Consider the following 15,361-nt stretch of genomic DNA (forward strand, 5'->3'; position numbering starts at 1 on the left):
GGTGAAACCCCGTCTCTACTAAAAATACAAAAATTATCTGGGCATGGTGGCGTGTGCCTGTAATCTCAGCTACTCGGGAGACGAGGCAGGAGAATCGCTTGAACCGTGATCTGGGAGGCAGAGGTAGCAGTGAACAAGATCATGCCACTGCACTCCAACCTGGGTTACAGAGCGAGACTGTCTCAAAAAAAAAAAAAAAAAAATTAGTCAAGCTTGGTTGCGTGCCCCTGTAATCCCAAGCTACTTGAGAGGCTGAGGTGGGAGAACTGCTTGAACCCTGGAGGCGGAGGCTGCAGTAAGCTAAGATTGGGCCACTGCACTCCAGCCTGGGTGACAGAGCAAGACCCCATCTCGAAAATAAATAAATAATAAAAAAAATTGGCCAGGTGTGGTGGCGTGCACCTGTAATCCCAGCTACTTGGGAAGCTGAGGCAGGAGAATCGCTTGAACCCGGGAGGCAGAGGTCAGAGGTTGCAGTGAGCTGAGATCATGCCACTGCACTCCAGCCTGGGTGACAGAGCTGGCATGCAAAAAAAAAAAAAAAAAATTAGCTGGGTGTGGTGGCACATGCCTGTAATCCCAGCTACTTGGGAGGTTGAGGCAGGAGAATTGCCTGAACCTGGGGCTAACCACTGGAAAGAGAGCACAGCCTCAAGCCACACTCAGCCTCAAGTCATCCAGGTGACCCAGAGAACAAGGGCCTGGAAGAAGCGGGTGAGTGGGTGAGGTGGAGGTGTAGATTGGAGTCCTAGGCCTTTGGGAGGCCCTCCAACCTCCCTTCTGCACCAACTTCTCCTGGGTGGCTGTGGCAGGCAGCTTTCCCTCCTGGGCTGTAAGGGGATAGATGCAGGTGAGGTGACTGTAGTGGTCTATTTTCAAGGATGCCCTTATTCTTGGGGGCAAGATGGAACAGCAGGAAGAAAGGGTGTGGGTGCTGGGCTGACAGAGGCCCCGATGCTGGCTCCGCCCATCCTGGCTGCACTGGTGAGCGGCATCATAGGAGAAGCTCCCAGAGTCCAGAGTTGGGAGAGCCAGATGGGATCAGGGAACCTCCCAGCATCAACCCTGGCCCTTCCTCATGGCCCCTAAAGCCCTGCAGGGTATGGCTCTGCAGGCTACCCAGCCTCATCCATCTGGAATGCACCAGGCTAGACCTGGCCCCAGGGTCTTTGTACTGGGCGTGCTGTTGCCCAGACCTGGGGCTGTCGGCTTCCTGCATGGGCAGACCCTTGCCATCGCTGAAATATCAGCGCACACATCCCCTGGGAGAGGTCTTCCTGGGCCTCCAGCTGTGCCTTCTCACAGGCTGCATCCAGACATTCACATCCTCTCCCCTGGACCCCATCTGTCTCTTGTTTTGAGATGAAGTCTCCCTGTGTTGCCCAGGCTGCAGTGTAGTCCCATGATCTCGGTTCACTGCAACCTCTGCCTCCCGAGTAGCTGGGATTACAGGCATGTGCCACTACACCCAGCTAATTTTTGTATTTTAAGTAGAGCTGGGGTTTCACTATGTTGGGCAGGCTGGTCTGGAACTCCTGAGCTCAAGTGATCCACCCACCTCGGCCTCCCAAAGTGCTGGGATTACAGGTGGGAACCACTGTGCCTGGTGCACTTTTTTTTTAAACATAGATGGAATCTCACTGTGTTGACCAGGCTGGGCTCAAGCGACCCTCCCACCCTGGCTTCCAAAGAGCTGAAATTACAGGCCATGACACTACACCCCACCTCTTTATTAAAAAAAAAAAAAGGCCGGGCGCGGTGGCTCACGCCTGTAATCCCAGCACTTTGGGAGGCCAAGGCAGGTGGATCACGAGGTCAGGAGATCCAGACCATCCTGGCTAACACGGTGAAACCCCGTCTCTACCAAAAATACAAAAAATTAGCCAGGCGTGGTGGCAGGCGCCTGTAGTCTCAGCTACTCGGGAGGCTGAGGCAGGAGAATGGCATGAACCCGGGAGGCGGAGCTTGCAGTGAGCCAAGATCACGCCACTGCACTCCAGCCGGGGCCACAGAGCAAGACTCTGTCTCAAAAAAAAAAAAAAAAAAAAGAGCCGGGCACGGTGACTCACACCTGTAATCCCAGCACTTTGGGAGGCCTAGGCAGGCAGATCACAAGGTCAAGAGATCAAGACCATCCTGACCAACATGGTGAAACCCTGTCTCTACTAAAAATACAAAAATTAGCTGCGCATGGTGGCGTGCGCCTGTAGTCCCAGCTACTCGGGAGGCTGAGACAGAAGAATTGCTTGAACCCGGGAAGTGGAGGTTGCAGTGAGCAGAGATCGTGCCACTGTACTTCAGCCTGGTGACAGAGTGAGACTCCGTCTCAAAAATAAATAAATAAATAAATAAATAATAAAAAGAGAGACCTCACTCTGGTGAGGTCTTCCAGCCTAGGCTGGAGTGCAGTGGTGCAATCATAGCTCACTAAAGCCTCAAATTCCTGTGCTCAAGTCATCCTCCTACCATCTGTCTCTTTTGAATTCAGTACATCCACTAGGTAAAGCAATGATGCCACAGAACCCATGCAGCAGCCTCAAGGTAGGGCCCACTGGGGTCCTGGATTTCAGGTGAGTAAACAGTGAACGCTGGGGTAACGAGTGGAGCTGGGCAGTAACACCCCCAGAGTCCAGCTGAGTCAGACCTCTCAACCCACTTGCCCCTGCTACATCACCCCACTTCTCTATGCCTCAGTTTCTCCTCTGTAAAGTGAGTATGTTGTGCCCGGAGAGGAGACCCCCAGCTCCAGCTGGCTCAACCACATCCACCATGCTGTGTGACTCCAGATGCATCACAGGCTGTCTCTGGCCCAGCCCCAGACAGCGGGAGAAGAAAGCTCAGGAGTCCGTGGAAACTGCAGGGTGGGATGCTTTATTTCACTGTGGCGGGGAGGGAACCTGGACAGGGGGCGGCAGGCGGGGTGGGGGGCTGGCACTCAGGCGGGGACTAGGCAGGGGAAGGGCTGCCCCCAGGCCTGTTGAGGAGAAACTGAGGCCAGCCCTGGCGGAGACCTAGCCCAGCGGGGTAAGGAGGGTGGGGGAAAACTGGGTCTGAAGGAATGAGGGCCCCCTCCCTCTGGGCTTTCCTCCTAGAGGGCCTCAGTCCCTCCTGCTGGCTGGGCTGCACGACCCCCAATCCTTGCTCCCCTAACCCGGAGGAGGGGGCCAGACCAGGGAGGGCAGTGGACAGGGAGCCTGGGGGAGTTGGGGAGCGCAGGGCAGGGTCCATGGTGTGCAGAGGGGGTGGCAGCCACCTAGGTGGTCAGTTCCTGGCAGCGATGACCACAGAGAGTGCCACACCCCCCAAGGCAACAGCAGTCGCCCCAAACAGCCACTTCCATGGGATGGACTGTGGATAAAAAGGAGGGGAGAGAAGGGTGGAGGGAGGTCAAGACTGGCCTCTGGGGCCTCAGCTGCCAGCACAGCCCAAACAGACCTCCCAACAAATCATTGCCTGACTATGTATTTCCCACTTCCTGGCAAACTCCTACTCATGCAGCAAAACCCAAATCAAATGGCCCCTCCTCCAGGACACCGCCCCTCGTGCCCTGGAAGAGGCTCCACAGTCCACCCCCAGCCCTCCAGCTTGAGTTCCACCTTCGACTCCACTCATGATCACACAGGGCTGGGCTCTCTCCACGTCCCCTGCATCGCCCAGGACGGCCCAGTCTCCGAGGACATCCATGTATGCAAAATAAAATCCCTCTGCTAGGCGTGCCCTGCACACAGCCCCTGCCCATTCTGTGCCCCAGCTCACCCAGGCACCCTTGCCAGGGCACTTAGCAGGCAGCCGGCTGGGGTTGCCCAGCATTTTCCGGTACAAGGCGGTCTCCGTGCTCCGCTGCGCCGCATGCTTCTTCACCAGCTTTGAGAGCTCTGCGTGGATCGTCTGCAGAAGGCAGGGGAAGCTGAGAACACGCAGCGGCCAACCTGTCATCACTGGCGCTCTGCCTTACTGGGACCCTAGGCTGTTTGGGTGGTGGGACTGTTGGGACACAGGGGTCCCATCTGCCCCTTTCTGGGCTTAGCAAAGTCAGGGCTGCTGACCCCATCCCTCCTAGGGAGCCAATTGATGGCGCAGAGCACAAGGTAGCCAGGAGACAAAAGGTTCTGGAAGGAAGGCCAAGGACACTGGCATGGAGCAGGCTGGCAGTGCCCTCAGCTGCTGGAGGAGTGAGAGCCCAGACTGCCTGTGTGGCCGTCATGAGGGTCTTCACAAGCTGACCAGGACCCTTCAGGTACCTACTCCGTGCCACTGCCCAGGTGGGAACACAACAGAGAGCCACAGCAAGAAAGACCTGGGGCAGACCGCAGGAGGGACTTCCCAGCCGAGCAAGTCCCAGGGCACCCCTGTCCTGCTCACCTTGTTGGAAGGTTCCAGCTTCAGGGCTGCCCTCAGGATGGGGATGGCCTCACTGTACTCCCCCTGCTGGGCCAGCACCTGTAAGGGGAAGGGGGTGGCATCACTCTGGACCCATACCTGGGCCTGTCCTTCAAGAAATCCAGCCCAGGAGGTTGCAGTGAGCCAAGATGGTGTCACTGCACTCCAGCTTGAGCAACAGAGCAAGACTCCATCTCAAAAAATAAAATAAAATAAAAACAGCCTGGCCAACATGGAGAAACCCCGTCTCTACCAAAAAATACAAAAATTAGCCAGGCGTGGTGGCATGCACCTGTAGTCCTAGCTACTCAGGAGGCTGAGGTGGGAGGATTGCTTGAACCAGGGGGCAGAAGTTGCAGTGAGCCGAGATCACACCACTGCACCCCAGTCTGGGTGACAGAGTGCAACCCTGTCTTAAAAAAAGAAAAAAAAAAAAGGGTCGGGCGCAGTGGCTCATGCCTGTAATCCCAGCACTTTGGGAGGCCGAGGCGGGCGGATCACAAGGTCAGGAGATCAAGACCATCCTGGCTAAGACGGTGAAACCCTGTATCTACTAAAAATACAAAAAAAATTAGCTGGGCGAGGTGGCGGGCGCCTGATAGTCCCAGCTACTCGGGAGGCTGAGGCAGGAGAATGGCGTGAACCCGGGAGGCGGAGCTTGCAGTGAGCCGAGATCGTGCCACTGCACTCCAGCCTGGGCGACAGAGTGAGACTCCATCTCAAAAAAAAAAAAAAAGGCTGGGCGCGGTGGCTCACACCTGTAATCCCAGCACTTTGGGAGGTCAAGGCAGGCGGATCAAGAGGTCAGGACGTCAAGACCATCCTGGCTAACATGGTGAAACTCCGTCTCTACTAAAAAATACAAAAAAATTAGCCGGGCATGGTGGCGGGCGCCTGTAGTCCCAGCTACTCGGGAGGCTGAGGCAGGAGAATGGCGTGAACCCAGGAGGCAGCACTTGCAGTGAGCCGAGATCACGCCACTGCAGTCCAGCCTGGGCGACAGAGCGAGACTCCGTCTCAAAAACAAACAAACAAACAAAAAAAACAGCCAGGCTCCTGGCTACTCATACAAGTGCCAAATGGAGCTCTGGCAACATCCCTGGGTTCCAGCCACTCCCAAACTGCTCTCCTAGCCCTCAAACTCCATCAGTGCACACTTAGCTTGGCATTGGTCCCCGCAACATGCTCCTCCTTCCTGTCTCAGCTGCAGATCTAGGCACCCACCTCGCTGCCTCCTCCCTCACCACCTCCACTGGCGAGAGGCCGAATGGATGCTTCCAGAGGTTGTTGTTTTTTTTTTCTCTTTCCTTTAGAGACAGGGTCTTGATCGGTCACCCAGGCTGGAGTGCAATGGCATGATCATAGCTCACTGCAGCCTCAAACTCCTAGGCTCACACAATCCTCCAGCCTCAGCCTCCCGAGGAGCTGGGACTACAGGCGTGTACTACCATGTCCAACGAATTATTTATTTATGTATTTATTTATAAAATTATTATTACTATTGTTATTATTATTATTTTGAGATGGAGTCTCACTCTCGCCCAGGCTGGAGTGCAGTGGCACGATCTTGGCTCAATGCAAGCTCTGCCTCCCGGGTTCACGCCATTCTCCTGCCTCAGCCTCCCGAGTAACTGGGATTACAGGCACCTACCACCACCGGCTAATTTTTGTATTTTTAGTAGAGACAGGGTTTTACCATGTTGGCCAGGCTGGTCTCAAACTCCTGACCTCAAGTGATCCACCTGCCTCAGCCTCCCAAAGTGCTGGTATTACAGGCATGAGCCACCGCTCCAGGCCTACTTATTTATTTATTTTATTTTAGAGACAGGGCCATGTTCCCCAGGATGGTTTCGAACTCCTGGGCTCAACCAATCCACCTGCCTCGGTCTCCCAAAGTGCTGGGATTATAGGCGTGAGCCACCACGCCCAGCCCTTAATTATTTTTTAAATTTTTGTAGCAATGGGGTCTCACTATGCTGCCAAGACTGGTCTTGAATTCCTGGGCTCAAATGATCCTCCTACCTTGGCCTCCTGAAGTGCTGAGATTACAGGCGTGAGGCACCACACCTGGCCCTGATGTTTCCAAAGCTTTGGCCATAGTGAATGATTCAGGACCAGGCACATGACCCAAATGAGTCAATGAGATCCAGCCTGCACTATGCTGGTGCTGATGGGAGATGGGTTGCTAAGGGGAGAAGATGGAGCTGGGCGAAGTGGCTCACGCCTATAATCCCAGCACTTTGGGAGGTCAAGGCAGGTGGATCACTTGAGGTCAGGAGTTCAAGACCAGCCTGGCCAACATGGTGAAACCCCGTCTATACTAAAAATACAAAAAAAGGCTGGATGTGCTCGCTTGAACCCAGGAGGCAGAGGTTGCAGTGAGCCAAGATCGTGCCACTGCACTCCAGCCTGGGTGACAGAGCAAGACTCTGTCTCAAAAAAAAAAAAAAAAGGAGGGGGTAGAAGATGGAAATCTGTAACTTTCCAGGGGGGAGGGGGGAGCATCATGGTCACCCTGAGAGAGGAGCCGGCCCAGGAGGGAAGGTCAGAGCAGAGAAACAGCATCCCCACAATATTGTGAGTGCCTGGATCCAGCTATGCCTGAAGCCAGCTAATCCAAACTTGGCAGTTCCATGAGCTATCGATCCCTCCTTTCTGCTTGAACCTGTTTGAGTGGGTTTCTATCACCTTCAACCAGCAGGTCCAAACTTGTATGAAGCTACACAAGCAGCCACTCCTGCTGCCCCCAGGAGGATACTACCCCCAGGTTGAGAACAAAGCCTTCAAAAACAGGAACTGCATCTTCTCCCTCTTCATATTTCTCTGCAGAACTCCGCACACAGTATGTCCTTAATAAATCCCAGCTGGAGGGAGCCCCACCTCAGGCTTTTCAGAAACACAGCAGGTGAGCCAGTATCTGTGCCTCAGTTTCCTTCGTTAACTGCTAAAAGGTCCTGAAAGCCCCACCTAGGGGTGAGGCTGTGAGGATGAACAGAAAAGGGGGTGAGAATGAAGGTCAAGTCTGTGCAAGCCAGATTCACCCCTATGTTCTGCCAGAACTTTTTTTTCTGTTCTCGTGTTTTGTTTTTGACACAGGGTCTTGCTCTGCTGCCAAGGCTGGAGTGCAGTGGTGTGATCAAGGCTCACTGCAGCCTTGACCTTCGGGGCTCAAGCCATCCTCAGCCTCCTGAGCAACTGGGACGACAGGCCCGCGCCCCCACACCCAGCTAATTTTTGTATATTTTGGGTAGAGAAGGGGGTCTCCCTATGTTGCCTGGGCTCGTCGCAAATGTCTGGGCTCATGCGATCCTCCTGCCTTGGCCTCCTGTAATCCCAAGTGCTGGGATTACAGGAATGAGCCATTGTGCCTGGCCTCTGCCAGGACTTTTACTGAGCACCTACTATGTACCTGGCCCTGTTTGCAAGGCTGGAGATCCGGCAGTGAGCAAGACAGACCAAATCTCCACCTTTGAGTAAGGTAGATGGACAAGAGGCATGTCACCTCCACGTGCTGCCTGTCAGGAACATCTCAGACAGTCGGCAATGCCTACGCAAAGGCCCTGAGGTGGAGAGAGCCTGGCTAGACAGCAGAAAGGGAGAATGCCACGTGGGATGGAGAGAAGCAGAAAGTGAGGTGGGAGAAGTGATAGCAGGAGGGGGAAGACCAGACAACTCAAGGCCCCAAGGGCTGTGACTAGGATTCCACTTTACTCTGAGGAAAACTGGGACCCATGGAGGTTCTATGGGAGGAGGTTTCAACACTGGGCCAAGCCGGGCACGGTGGCTCAGGCCTGTAATCTCAGCACATGGGGAGACTGAGGCGGGCAGATCACTTGAGGTCAGGAGTTCGAGACCAGCCTGGCCAATATGGCTAACCACATCTCTACTAAAAATACAAAAATTAACTGGGTGTGGTGGCTCGCACCTGTAGTCCCAGCTACTTGGGAGGTTGAGGCAGGACAATCGCTTGAACCCAGGAGGAGGAGGTTGCGGTGGTGAGCTGAGATCACACCACTGCACTCCAGCCTGGGTGACAGAGTGAGACTCTGTCTCAAGAAACAAACAAACAAACAAACAAAAAACACTGGGCCAAAGGTTGGGGACCCAAGACTCGAGGATCAAATTCTGGCCTCAGCCAATGAATTGTTGTGACCAGGCCACACTCCTGCACCCGTCTGGGCCTCAGTTTCTCCACCTGCACCCCACAGAGCTCAGCTGGCTTATATACCTATGCCTTTCTCAAATGCAGGGTTGGGGACCACCCCGTATACCCCAGGCTGAGTGACCCGGCCTGGCACCCCGGTGTGGCCTACCTTGCCCTTGCGGAAGAGAGCCTTGATGTTGTCTGGCTGGTGCTCCAGCACAAGGCTGCAGGAGCGCAGGGCTGCGCGGTAGTGGTCGAGCTTCAGCTGCGAGGCCGCCAGGTTGTTCAGACACTTCACCTTCAACTGCAGGAGCTGTGCCTCCTCCTCGAACGTCATGTCCACTATTGGGAGACAGTGCCCGCCACGGCAGCCGTCACCATGCCACCAGACACCCCGGCACCCACCCCTCTGCGGAGGCTGCCTCTCTGGCCTCAGTTTCCCCAATTTTAACCCCGGACCAAGGGCCACGCTTTCCTGGGGCTCTCCTGAGGAAGCTACAAGATGGAGACTTAAGCAAGCGAGGGCCTAGCCTGTGGTACATGTGAACTGGCCCTGTCTATGGTCACCCCATCCCCATATCCACTTGCATTCTACAACACTCCACTGGTCTGGGATATACCACGAGTCTGTAACAGGCCCTAGCTTAGGGGCAGTTGGGGATCTACCCATATTCTGGGCTATTCTAGAATATTCTGAGTCTGAGGCTCTCTGGGGCTGGAAGTTTCTGGCACGGAGTGGACACCTTTGCAGGGGAGATGGTGGAGATCTGACCCAGGCGGTCACCTTTGGCGCTGGAGGTGATAGCCTTGATGGCGAGGTCGTAGGAGTTGGCGGCCAGGACGAAGTCCGCCCGCTGGTAGTGGGCGTTGCCGCACTCCCGCTTCCGGTTGGCCAGGGCCACGCGCTCCTGCCCCGTGAGCATCTCCAGGTCAGGCCCGTCCACAGCCGTCTTCAGGGTCACCTCCAGGCACAGGGCCGCGTGCGGGGGGATGTATGGGCTCCTGCTAGTTGGGTGGGAGCAGGCAGGGGCAGCACTCAGACCTGGTGACCCCTAAACCCGCTGGGCTGGCTAGGAAGGAGTGAGCTTGGCTCAAGCCCCCGATCTGTCTCCCCTCTGCCCTCCATCATTCCCTCCTCAGTAAAGTGCAGGGGAAGTGACTTGCCGCCTTGGAGCTGCGGGACTTGACGAACGAGTTCCCCTCCCTAAGCCTCGGTTTTCCTCCTTTTTATTAAGAGACAGGTTCTCACTCTGTTGCCCGGGCTGGAGTGCAGTGGTGCAATCTTGGCTCACTGCAGCCTCAAAAACGTGGGCTCAAGTGATCCTCCTGCCTGAGCCTCCTCAGTAGCTGGGACTACAGGTGTGCACCACACCCAGCTTTTTTTTTTTTTTTTTTTTTTTTTTGAGACAGTCTTGCTCTCTTGCCCAGGCTGGAGTGCAGTGGTGCAATCTCGGTTCACTGCAAGCTCCGCCTCCCGGGTTCACGCCATTTTCCTGCCTCAACCTCCAGAGTAGCTGGGACTACAGGCACCCACCACCACGCCTGGCTAATTTTTTGTATTTTTAGTAGAGACGGGGTTTCACCGTGCTAGCCAGGATGGCCTTGATCTCCTGACCTCATGATCCACCCGCCTTGGCCTCCCAAAGTGCTGGGATTACAGGCGTAAGCCACCACGCCCGGCCCACACCCAGCTAATTTTTAAATTTTTTTGTATAGAGATGCGGTCTATATTGCTTAGGCTGGTCTGGAACTCCAGGTCTCAAGCAATCCTCCTACCTCAACCTCCCAAAGTGCTGGGATTTCAGGTGTGAGCCACCTCACCCAGCCTCAGTTTCTTGTCTATAAAATGGGCAAGTAGATGGGGTGAGCCGAGGGGTACACCCACTCCACCCATCCCCCTCCTGAGACCTGCAGAGACCTAAGGGTGGCTGACTCTCACCTGCCTTGGGGGCCGTAGCAGTACTTGGAGTCAGCAGTGACCATGGCCGTCTCCCCCACGTCCATGAGTGGGACACTGAGATCCAGGGCCTGGGGTGTGTGGGGATAGCCAGCTGTCAGGCAGACTCAGACCCAGCAAGGCACGCCCCTCGCCCCTGCCCTGTCCCGCCCCAGCCCGCACCTGGATGACGTCACAGTCACCCAGAGTGAACACCAGCTCCGGCTCCTCCTGCACCCGTGTGCCATTCTCCAGCGACGTCTGCAGATGTACGGTGACCACCTGGCCCTTGACCGGGCGGCTCGAACCTGGCGGCCCTGGGACCAGCGTCTTCTTCCTCAACAGCCCGTTCCCTGCCAGGGTCCAGGGACATGCAGCCTGTCACCTGGCAGCTCAAACAGGCACCCGCTCCCCTGAGCCCCCACTCCTACCCTCAGCTCTGCCCACTAGCTGTCCAGAGGGGGCTGGCCCAACACTGGGGCACAAACCAAACTTCCAATGGCCACTCTGCCACCAGAGTGGGGAACCCCACGTGCAGGACACTGGGCAGGATGGGACAGACTTCAGGGTGACAGTGCTGGTGCTAGAGACCAGCTCAGTGAACAATGGTTGGTCTGGTTTTTTTGTTTTTTTGTTTTTTTTTTTTAAGAAAACTGAGACTTGCCGAGTTTCCATCTATTTGAGAGGCCAATGTGGGAGAATCACAAGTTCAGCCCAGCGTCTGGGCAAAATGGCAAGAACCCAGTCTCCCCACCCTCCTCAAAAAGAAAGAAAACCAAAGCTCAGAGAGGACAAACAGCCCTCAGGCTGAAATCCTTGCCCTGAGATGTTTGGGCCTCGGTTTACCCAGCCATGAAATGAGGTGCTCATGGGACCTTTGGTTAGCAGAGCCCCTGTGACACAGTGTCCCCACCACAGCACCAAGTGGGATGAATTTATAAGTTAAGCAAAGGACACACATGGTGGCTCATGCCTGTAATCCCAGAACTTTGGGAGGCTGAAATGAGAGGACTGTTTAAACCCAGGAGTTTGAGACCAGCCTGGGCAACATAGTGAGACCCCATCTCTACAAAAAATAAAAAATGACCAGGCATGGTGGCTCACACCTGTAACCCCAGCACTTTGGAAGGCTGAGGCAGGAGGATCACTTGAGGTTAGGAGTTTGAGACCAGCCTGGTCAACATGGTGAGACCCTGTCTCCACTAAAAATACAAAAATTAGGGGCCAGGTGTGCTGGCTCACACCTGTAATCTCAGCACTTTAGGAGGCCAAGGCAGGTGGATCACCTGAGGTCAGGAGTTCGAGACCAGCCTGGCCAATGTGGTGAAACCCTGTCTCTACTAAAAATACAAAAATCAGCCAGGCATAGAGGTGGGCACCTGTAGTCCCAGCTACTCAGGAGGCTGAGGCAGAAGAATCGCTTGAACCTGGGAGGCGGAGGTTGCAGTGAACTGAGATCGCACCACTGCATTCCAACCTGGGTGACAGAGTCAGACTCTGTCTCAAAAAAAAAAAAAAAAGTAGTAAGATTTTTATCAGTAGTGGTGGTGATATTTAGTAATATTTCTGTTCCATCAGTGTCAATATGATTGGAAACTATTGCTACAGTATTGTTATTACAATTGATAGTGGTAATGATATCTTATTATTTGCATGGGCACCAGCATTATTTGGTATATTAGATATCAGTACTATACTAGTAGCAAGACGTCTTCCACAGAAAACTAACATTTCTCTTGTTTTCAGTTGCTGTGATGGGGTATGTTGGGGGGAACATGTGGGGGCTCATGTAGTTTTCTTCTTGTAGGATTGCTCTGAGCATTTACAATACTATCACTACTGTGAACCAACCAGAAGGCTGAACAAAATAACATTCCTCTGATCCACTTGACCCCAGAACACATTTTTTGTTTTGGAAGTTGGGGTCTCGCTGTGTTGCCCAGGCTGGCGTGCACTCAGGACACATTTTTCAGAGCCCAAGCATGTGTCAGACAAATGCCAAAAAAAGATGCATTGATGGGGTTAGGAGCTGCCAGCGCCTGGCGTGCTGGCTGTGTGGCTCTGGGCAGGTGACTCAGCCTCTCTGAGCCACTGTTAGCAGATCTGGGAAACGGGGACACAGCACATTGTGCATGTGTGTGAGTCAGTGGATAGAGTACATCAATGTGAAGCATCTCCAGTAGTTGCCTCTGGCTGGTGATCACGGTGGTGACCACGTGACTTCCAACCCTCACAGCACAGATGGGGAAATGAGGCTCAGGGGACGAGAGGGCCAGGGCCAAGGGCACCCTGATCCACCTTTGCTCCTTACCCAGAATGTCCAGCCACTCTTCTGGGGCCGGGGCTGGGGCGGGCTCGGGCTCCATGGCAGCAAGGAACTCTCGGGCCAGGGCCCCAGGCTGCTCAGCCTCCTCCGCCGGGGGTTGTCCCATGTCCTCCAGCGGTGGCAGCTCACTCAGGTCATCCTCTTCCTCCTCTTCCTCCTCCTCTTCCTCCTCACCCTCTGCATCCTCAACCCCATCCAGTACCTCGAAGTCCTCGAGCGGTGGGACCCCGGCGGGCAGTGGGGCAGAGGGCTCAGAGGGTTCAGCACACGATGCCATGCTGCTGGGGGGACAGGAATTGGCCCTGGAAGTGGGGGGCAGAGATGTGGGTCAGAATCCTACACAGCCCCTCAAAGTCTCCACTGTACTGATTCCCCACACTGCCGATCACTTTCTGTGTAACTCAAGGGCTCCAGGCCTCAGTTTCCTCATCTATACAGTGGGTGTAACAACAACCCCAGCTTGTTGGGAGAAATTAACCCATGCATCAAGCCCTTGGCATCAGGCTCAAATAGTGTTAGCCATTATTAGAGCTAATTATTATTTAATGTTTACAAATACTCCAGGAAGTAGGGAAGATTCCCCTCAACATTTTGCAGAACAGGAAACAGGCCAGAGGGGCAAAGGCATTTGCCCAAGGTCACAGAGAAAGCCAAAGGCCAAAGGAGGATTTGAACCTGGGGCTTCAGGCCCTGTGGCTTTGCCTGATTATAAGCTGAGCGAAGGGTGCTGGGATTTTTGTGGAGAGGACAGCCTCCGAGGCCTTAGGGAAGCCATTTTTAGAGCCTCTAAGGCCACTGGGGGAAATTGAATCTTTTACCAGGGCCTCCCACCTCCAGCCTCTTCTCCAAAGGGGAGACCCTCCCCAAAAGCACCAACTGTAATCACCCAGAAACCCCAAGCGTTTTTTCCTTCCACACTCTGAATCTAACACTATCCCCCACAACCCCAACATCAGGGACCCTGGCCCAAATCCTTCCCCAGGAGACCATCCTCCTCTCATCAGGCCTCGGTCCCACCCCCTCAAAGCAGCCTCCTTTCCAGGAGTGGTCGAGGTCCCACCACATTCTACAGCCTCTTCCTTGCCCCAGACCTCCTGAACCAATAACCAACCCCTCCGTCCCCCAGGCCCCAAGCTCAGAAGAGTGTGGCACAGCCATCAAACCAGCCCGCCGCATCCCCTCCCTAACCCTCACCTGCCTGCTCCTCCCGGGCTCGGAGCCCCACTTTGAGAGACCCTCCCAGCCCCCACCCCCATAATTCCCCGCGCCCGCACAATTCGGCCTCCCCTCCCACCCCCCACCCCAACCACCACCGCCCCCAGCACGGGCCAGCTCCCCCCACAGCCGCTCCGTCTCGCCGTAAACACTCCAGTGTCCCCAGACGCCCCCCCCTTTCCGATCCCATAACACCCCACGCTCTCCTGACGCCCCACAGCCCCGGCCGGGCCCTCAGTCAAGCCGCGACCCAGGCCCCCAACGACCCACGCCTGTCTGACGCCACCAGTCTGGGGCACCCGACCCCCGCACGCCTCGGGCGCCCCTGGCCCTGCACGCCTCCATCGGGACCCCCCCACTGGATCCCCTTTGCCCCCAGTGACCCCCATCCCTGGCCACCCCCGCCCGGCCGCGCCCCCTCGGGCACCCCCGACCCCCGTGCCCCCCCGGCTCGCCACCCCCGCGGCCCCTCGCCCCGCCCATCGGCCGCAGCCCCCGGCGCGCTAGCCCCCGGACCAGCCTAGGCCAGGGCAGCGGCCCGGCCGGCACGGCGCCCCCAGCACCCCAGGACACTTGCCTCTGGCTCCGGGACCCCCACTTGGGGTCCTGCGCCCCCCTCCCCGCCCCCAGCCGCGGCCGCCGCGCCTCGGGAACCAGGTTCGGCCGCTTGGCCCCGCCCCTGCCGTGCCCATTGGCCGCCGCTGCCGCGACTGCCGCACCCGTTGGCTCATGCAGACGTCCGTCCCGGGCGTTGGCACCTCCCCCTTCCTGCTTGGCCCCGCGGGGCGTTCTTAAAGGGACCGAAGCCTCCCGGCTGCTGGGGCTGGGGCGGGGGCTGGGGCGGGGGCTGGGGCGGGGGCTGGGGCGGGGGCGGGGGACCCTGGGCTGGACCCCAACACGGGTCAGTATCGCGCAGCCTGTGCGACTCCTGCCTCTCCTCTGAGCTTCATCCTGACCATCTGCGAAATGGGGATAAACACCCCCATCTATGCACTCTCACCTTGGGGGCTGCTGGGGGCACAGTCCACTCTAAATGTTATTTCCTTAAAGAGTTCAAGCTTGACGGGCAGGGCAGCTCTGGGGTTGCTGAATGACCCATCCTGAAGCCTTAGTTACAGAAGTGAACCTGAGGGCCTGAGGAGGAGTGACGTGCCCAAAGGCATACAGAAACCTCCCTCCCATCCCCCACACAGTTTAATGTCTAGAAGGTTGCCTGGTGCATACTGGAGGCGCTCGATTACTGCTGCGCAGGCGACTGAGCCAGCAGGGCCACTGGGAGGAGTTCCTCCTCTATGCACTGTCTGCTGGAGGGTGATAAGGTCCCCATGGCTCGGGAAGAAGGTGGCATCCTTGATTAGCT

The 15,361-nt window shown here is 56.1% G+C and overlaps 1 protein-coding gene across 2 annotated transcripts, besides 4 other annotated features; it reads right to left on the bottom strand.

Moving 5' to 3' along the window:
- Positions 601–1,486: an enhancer, noted in NCBI's record as "H3K4me1 hESC enhancer chr19:18640318-18641203 (GRCh37/hg19 assembly coordinates)". NCBI's record gives its function as "activates a minimal SCP1, AML or CMV promoter by ChIP-STARR-seq in naive H9 embryonic stem cells {active_cell/tissue: H9 hESC(naive)}" and the evidence as "EXISTENCE:reporter gene assay evidence [ECO:0000049][PMID:30033119]".
- On the bottom strand, positions 2,856–14,666 carry FKBP8 (FKBP prolyl isomerase 8). 2 transcript variants are annotated; one of them, NM_001308373.2, is made up of 9 exons: positions 14,579–14,666; positions 12,772–13,088; positions 10,644–10,813; positions 10,464–10,552; positions 9,309–9,526; positions 8,694–8,866; positions 4,363–4,440; positions 3,757–3,888; positions 2,856–3,348 (listed from the first exon to the last, which is right to left on the bottom strand). In NM_001308373.2, the coding sequence occupies exons 2-9, from the start codon at positions 13,061–13,063 to the stop codon at positions 3,262–3,264; spliced, it is 1,239 nt and encodes a 412-aa protein (NP_001295302.1). In that variant the 5' UTR covers positions 13,064–13,088; positions 14,579–14,666; the 3' UTR covers positions 2,856–3,261. The 2 variants fall into 2 exon arrangements, with proteins under 2 accessions (NP_001295302.1, NP_036313.3); NM_012181.5 differs by having other exon boundaries at positions 9,309–9,529.
- Positions 9,232–9,526: an enhancer, noted in NCBI's record as "tiled region #11651; HepG2 Activating DNase matched - State 18:Pol2, and K562 Activating non-DNase unmatched - State 14:Gen5'". NCBI's record gives its function as "activates a minimal TATA promoter and a strong SV40 promoter by Sharpr-MPRA in HepG2 and K562 cells {active_cell/tissue: HepG2 | K562}" and the evidence as "EXISTENCE:reporter gene assay evidence [ECO:0000049][PMID:27701403]".
- Positions 12,419–12,919: an enhancer, noted in NCBI's record as "H3K4me1 hESC enhancer chr19:18652136-18652636 (GRCh37/hg19 assembly coordinates)". NCBI's record gives its function as "activates a minimal SCP1, AML or CMV promoter by ChIP-STARR-seq in naive H9 embryonic stem cells {active_cell/tissue: H9 hESC(naive)}" and the evidence as "EXISTENCE:reporter gene assay evidence [ECO:0000049][PMID:30033119]".
- Positions 14,482–14,911: a silencer, noted in NCBI's record as "silent region_10407". NCBI's record gives its function as "represses an Ori minimal core promoter by ATAC-STARR-seq in GM12878 lymphoblastoid cells {active_cell/tissue: GM12878}" and the evidence as "EXISTENCE:reporter gene assay evidence [ECO:0000049][PMID:35858748]".

The sequence above is a fragment of the Homo sapiens genome, chromosome 19, assembly GCF_000001405.40.
Source record: "Homo sapiens chromosome 19, GRCh38.p14 Primary Assembly".
Lineage (NCBI taxonomy): Eukaryota > Metazoa > Chordata > Mammalia > Primates > Hominidae > Homo > Homo sapiens.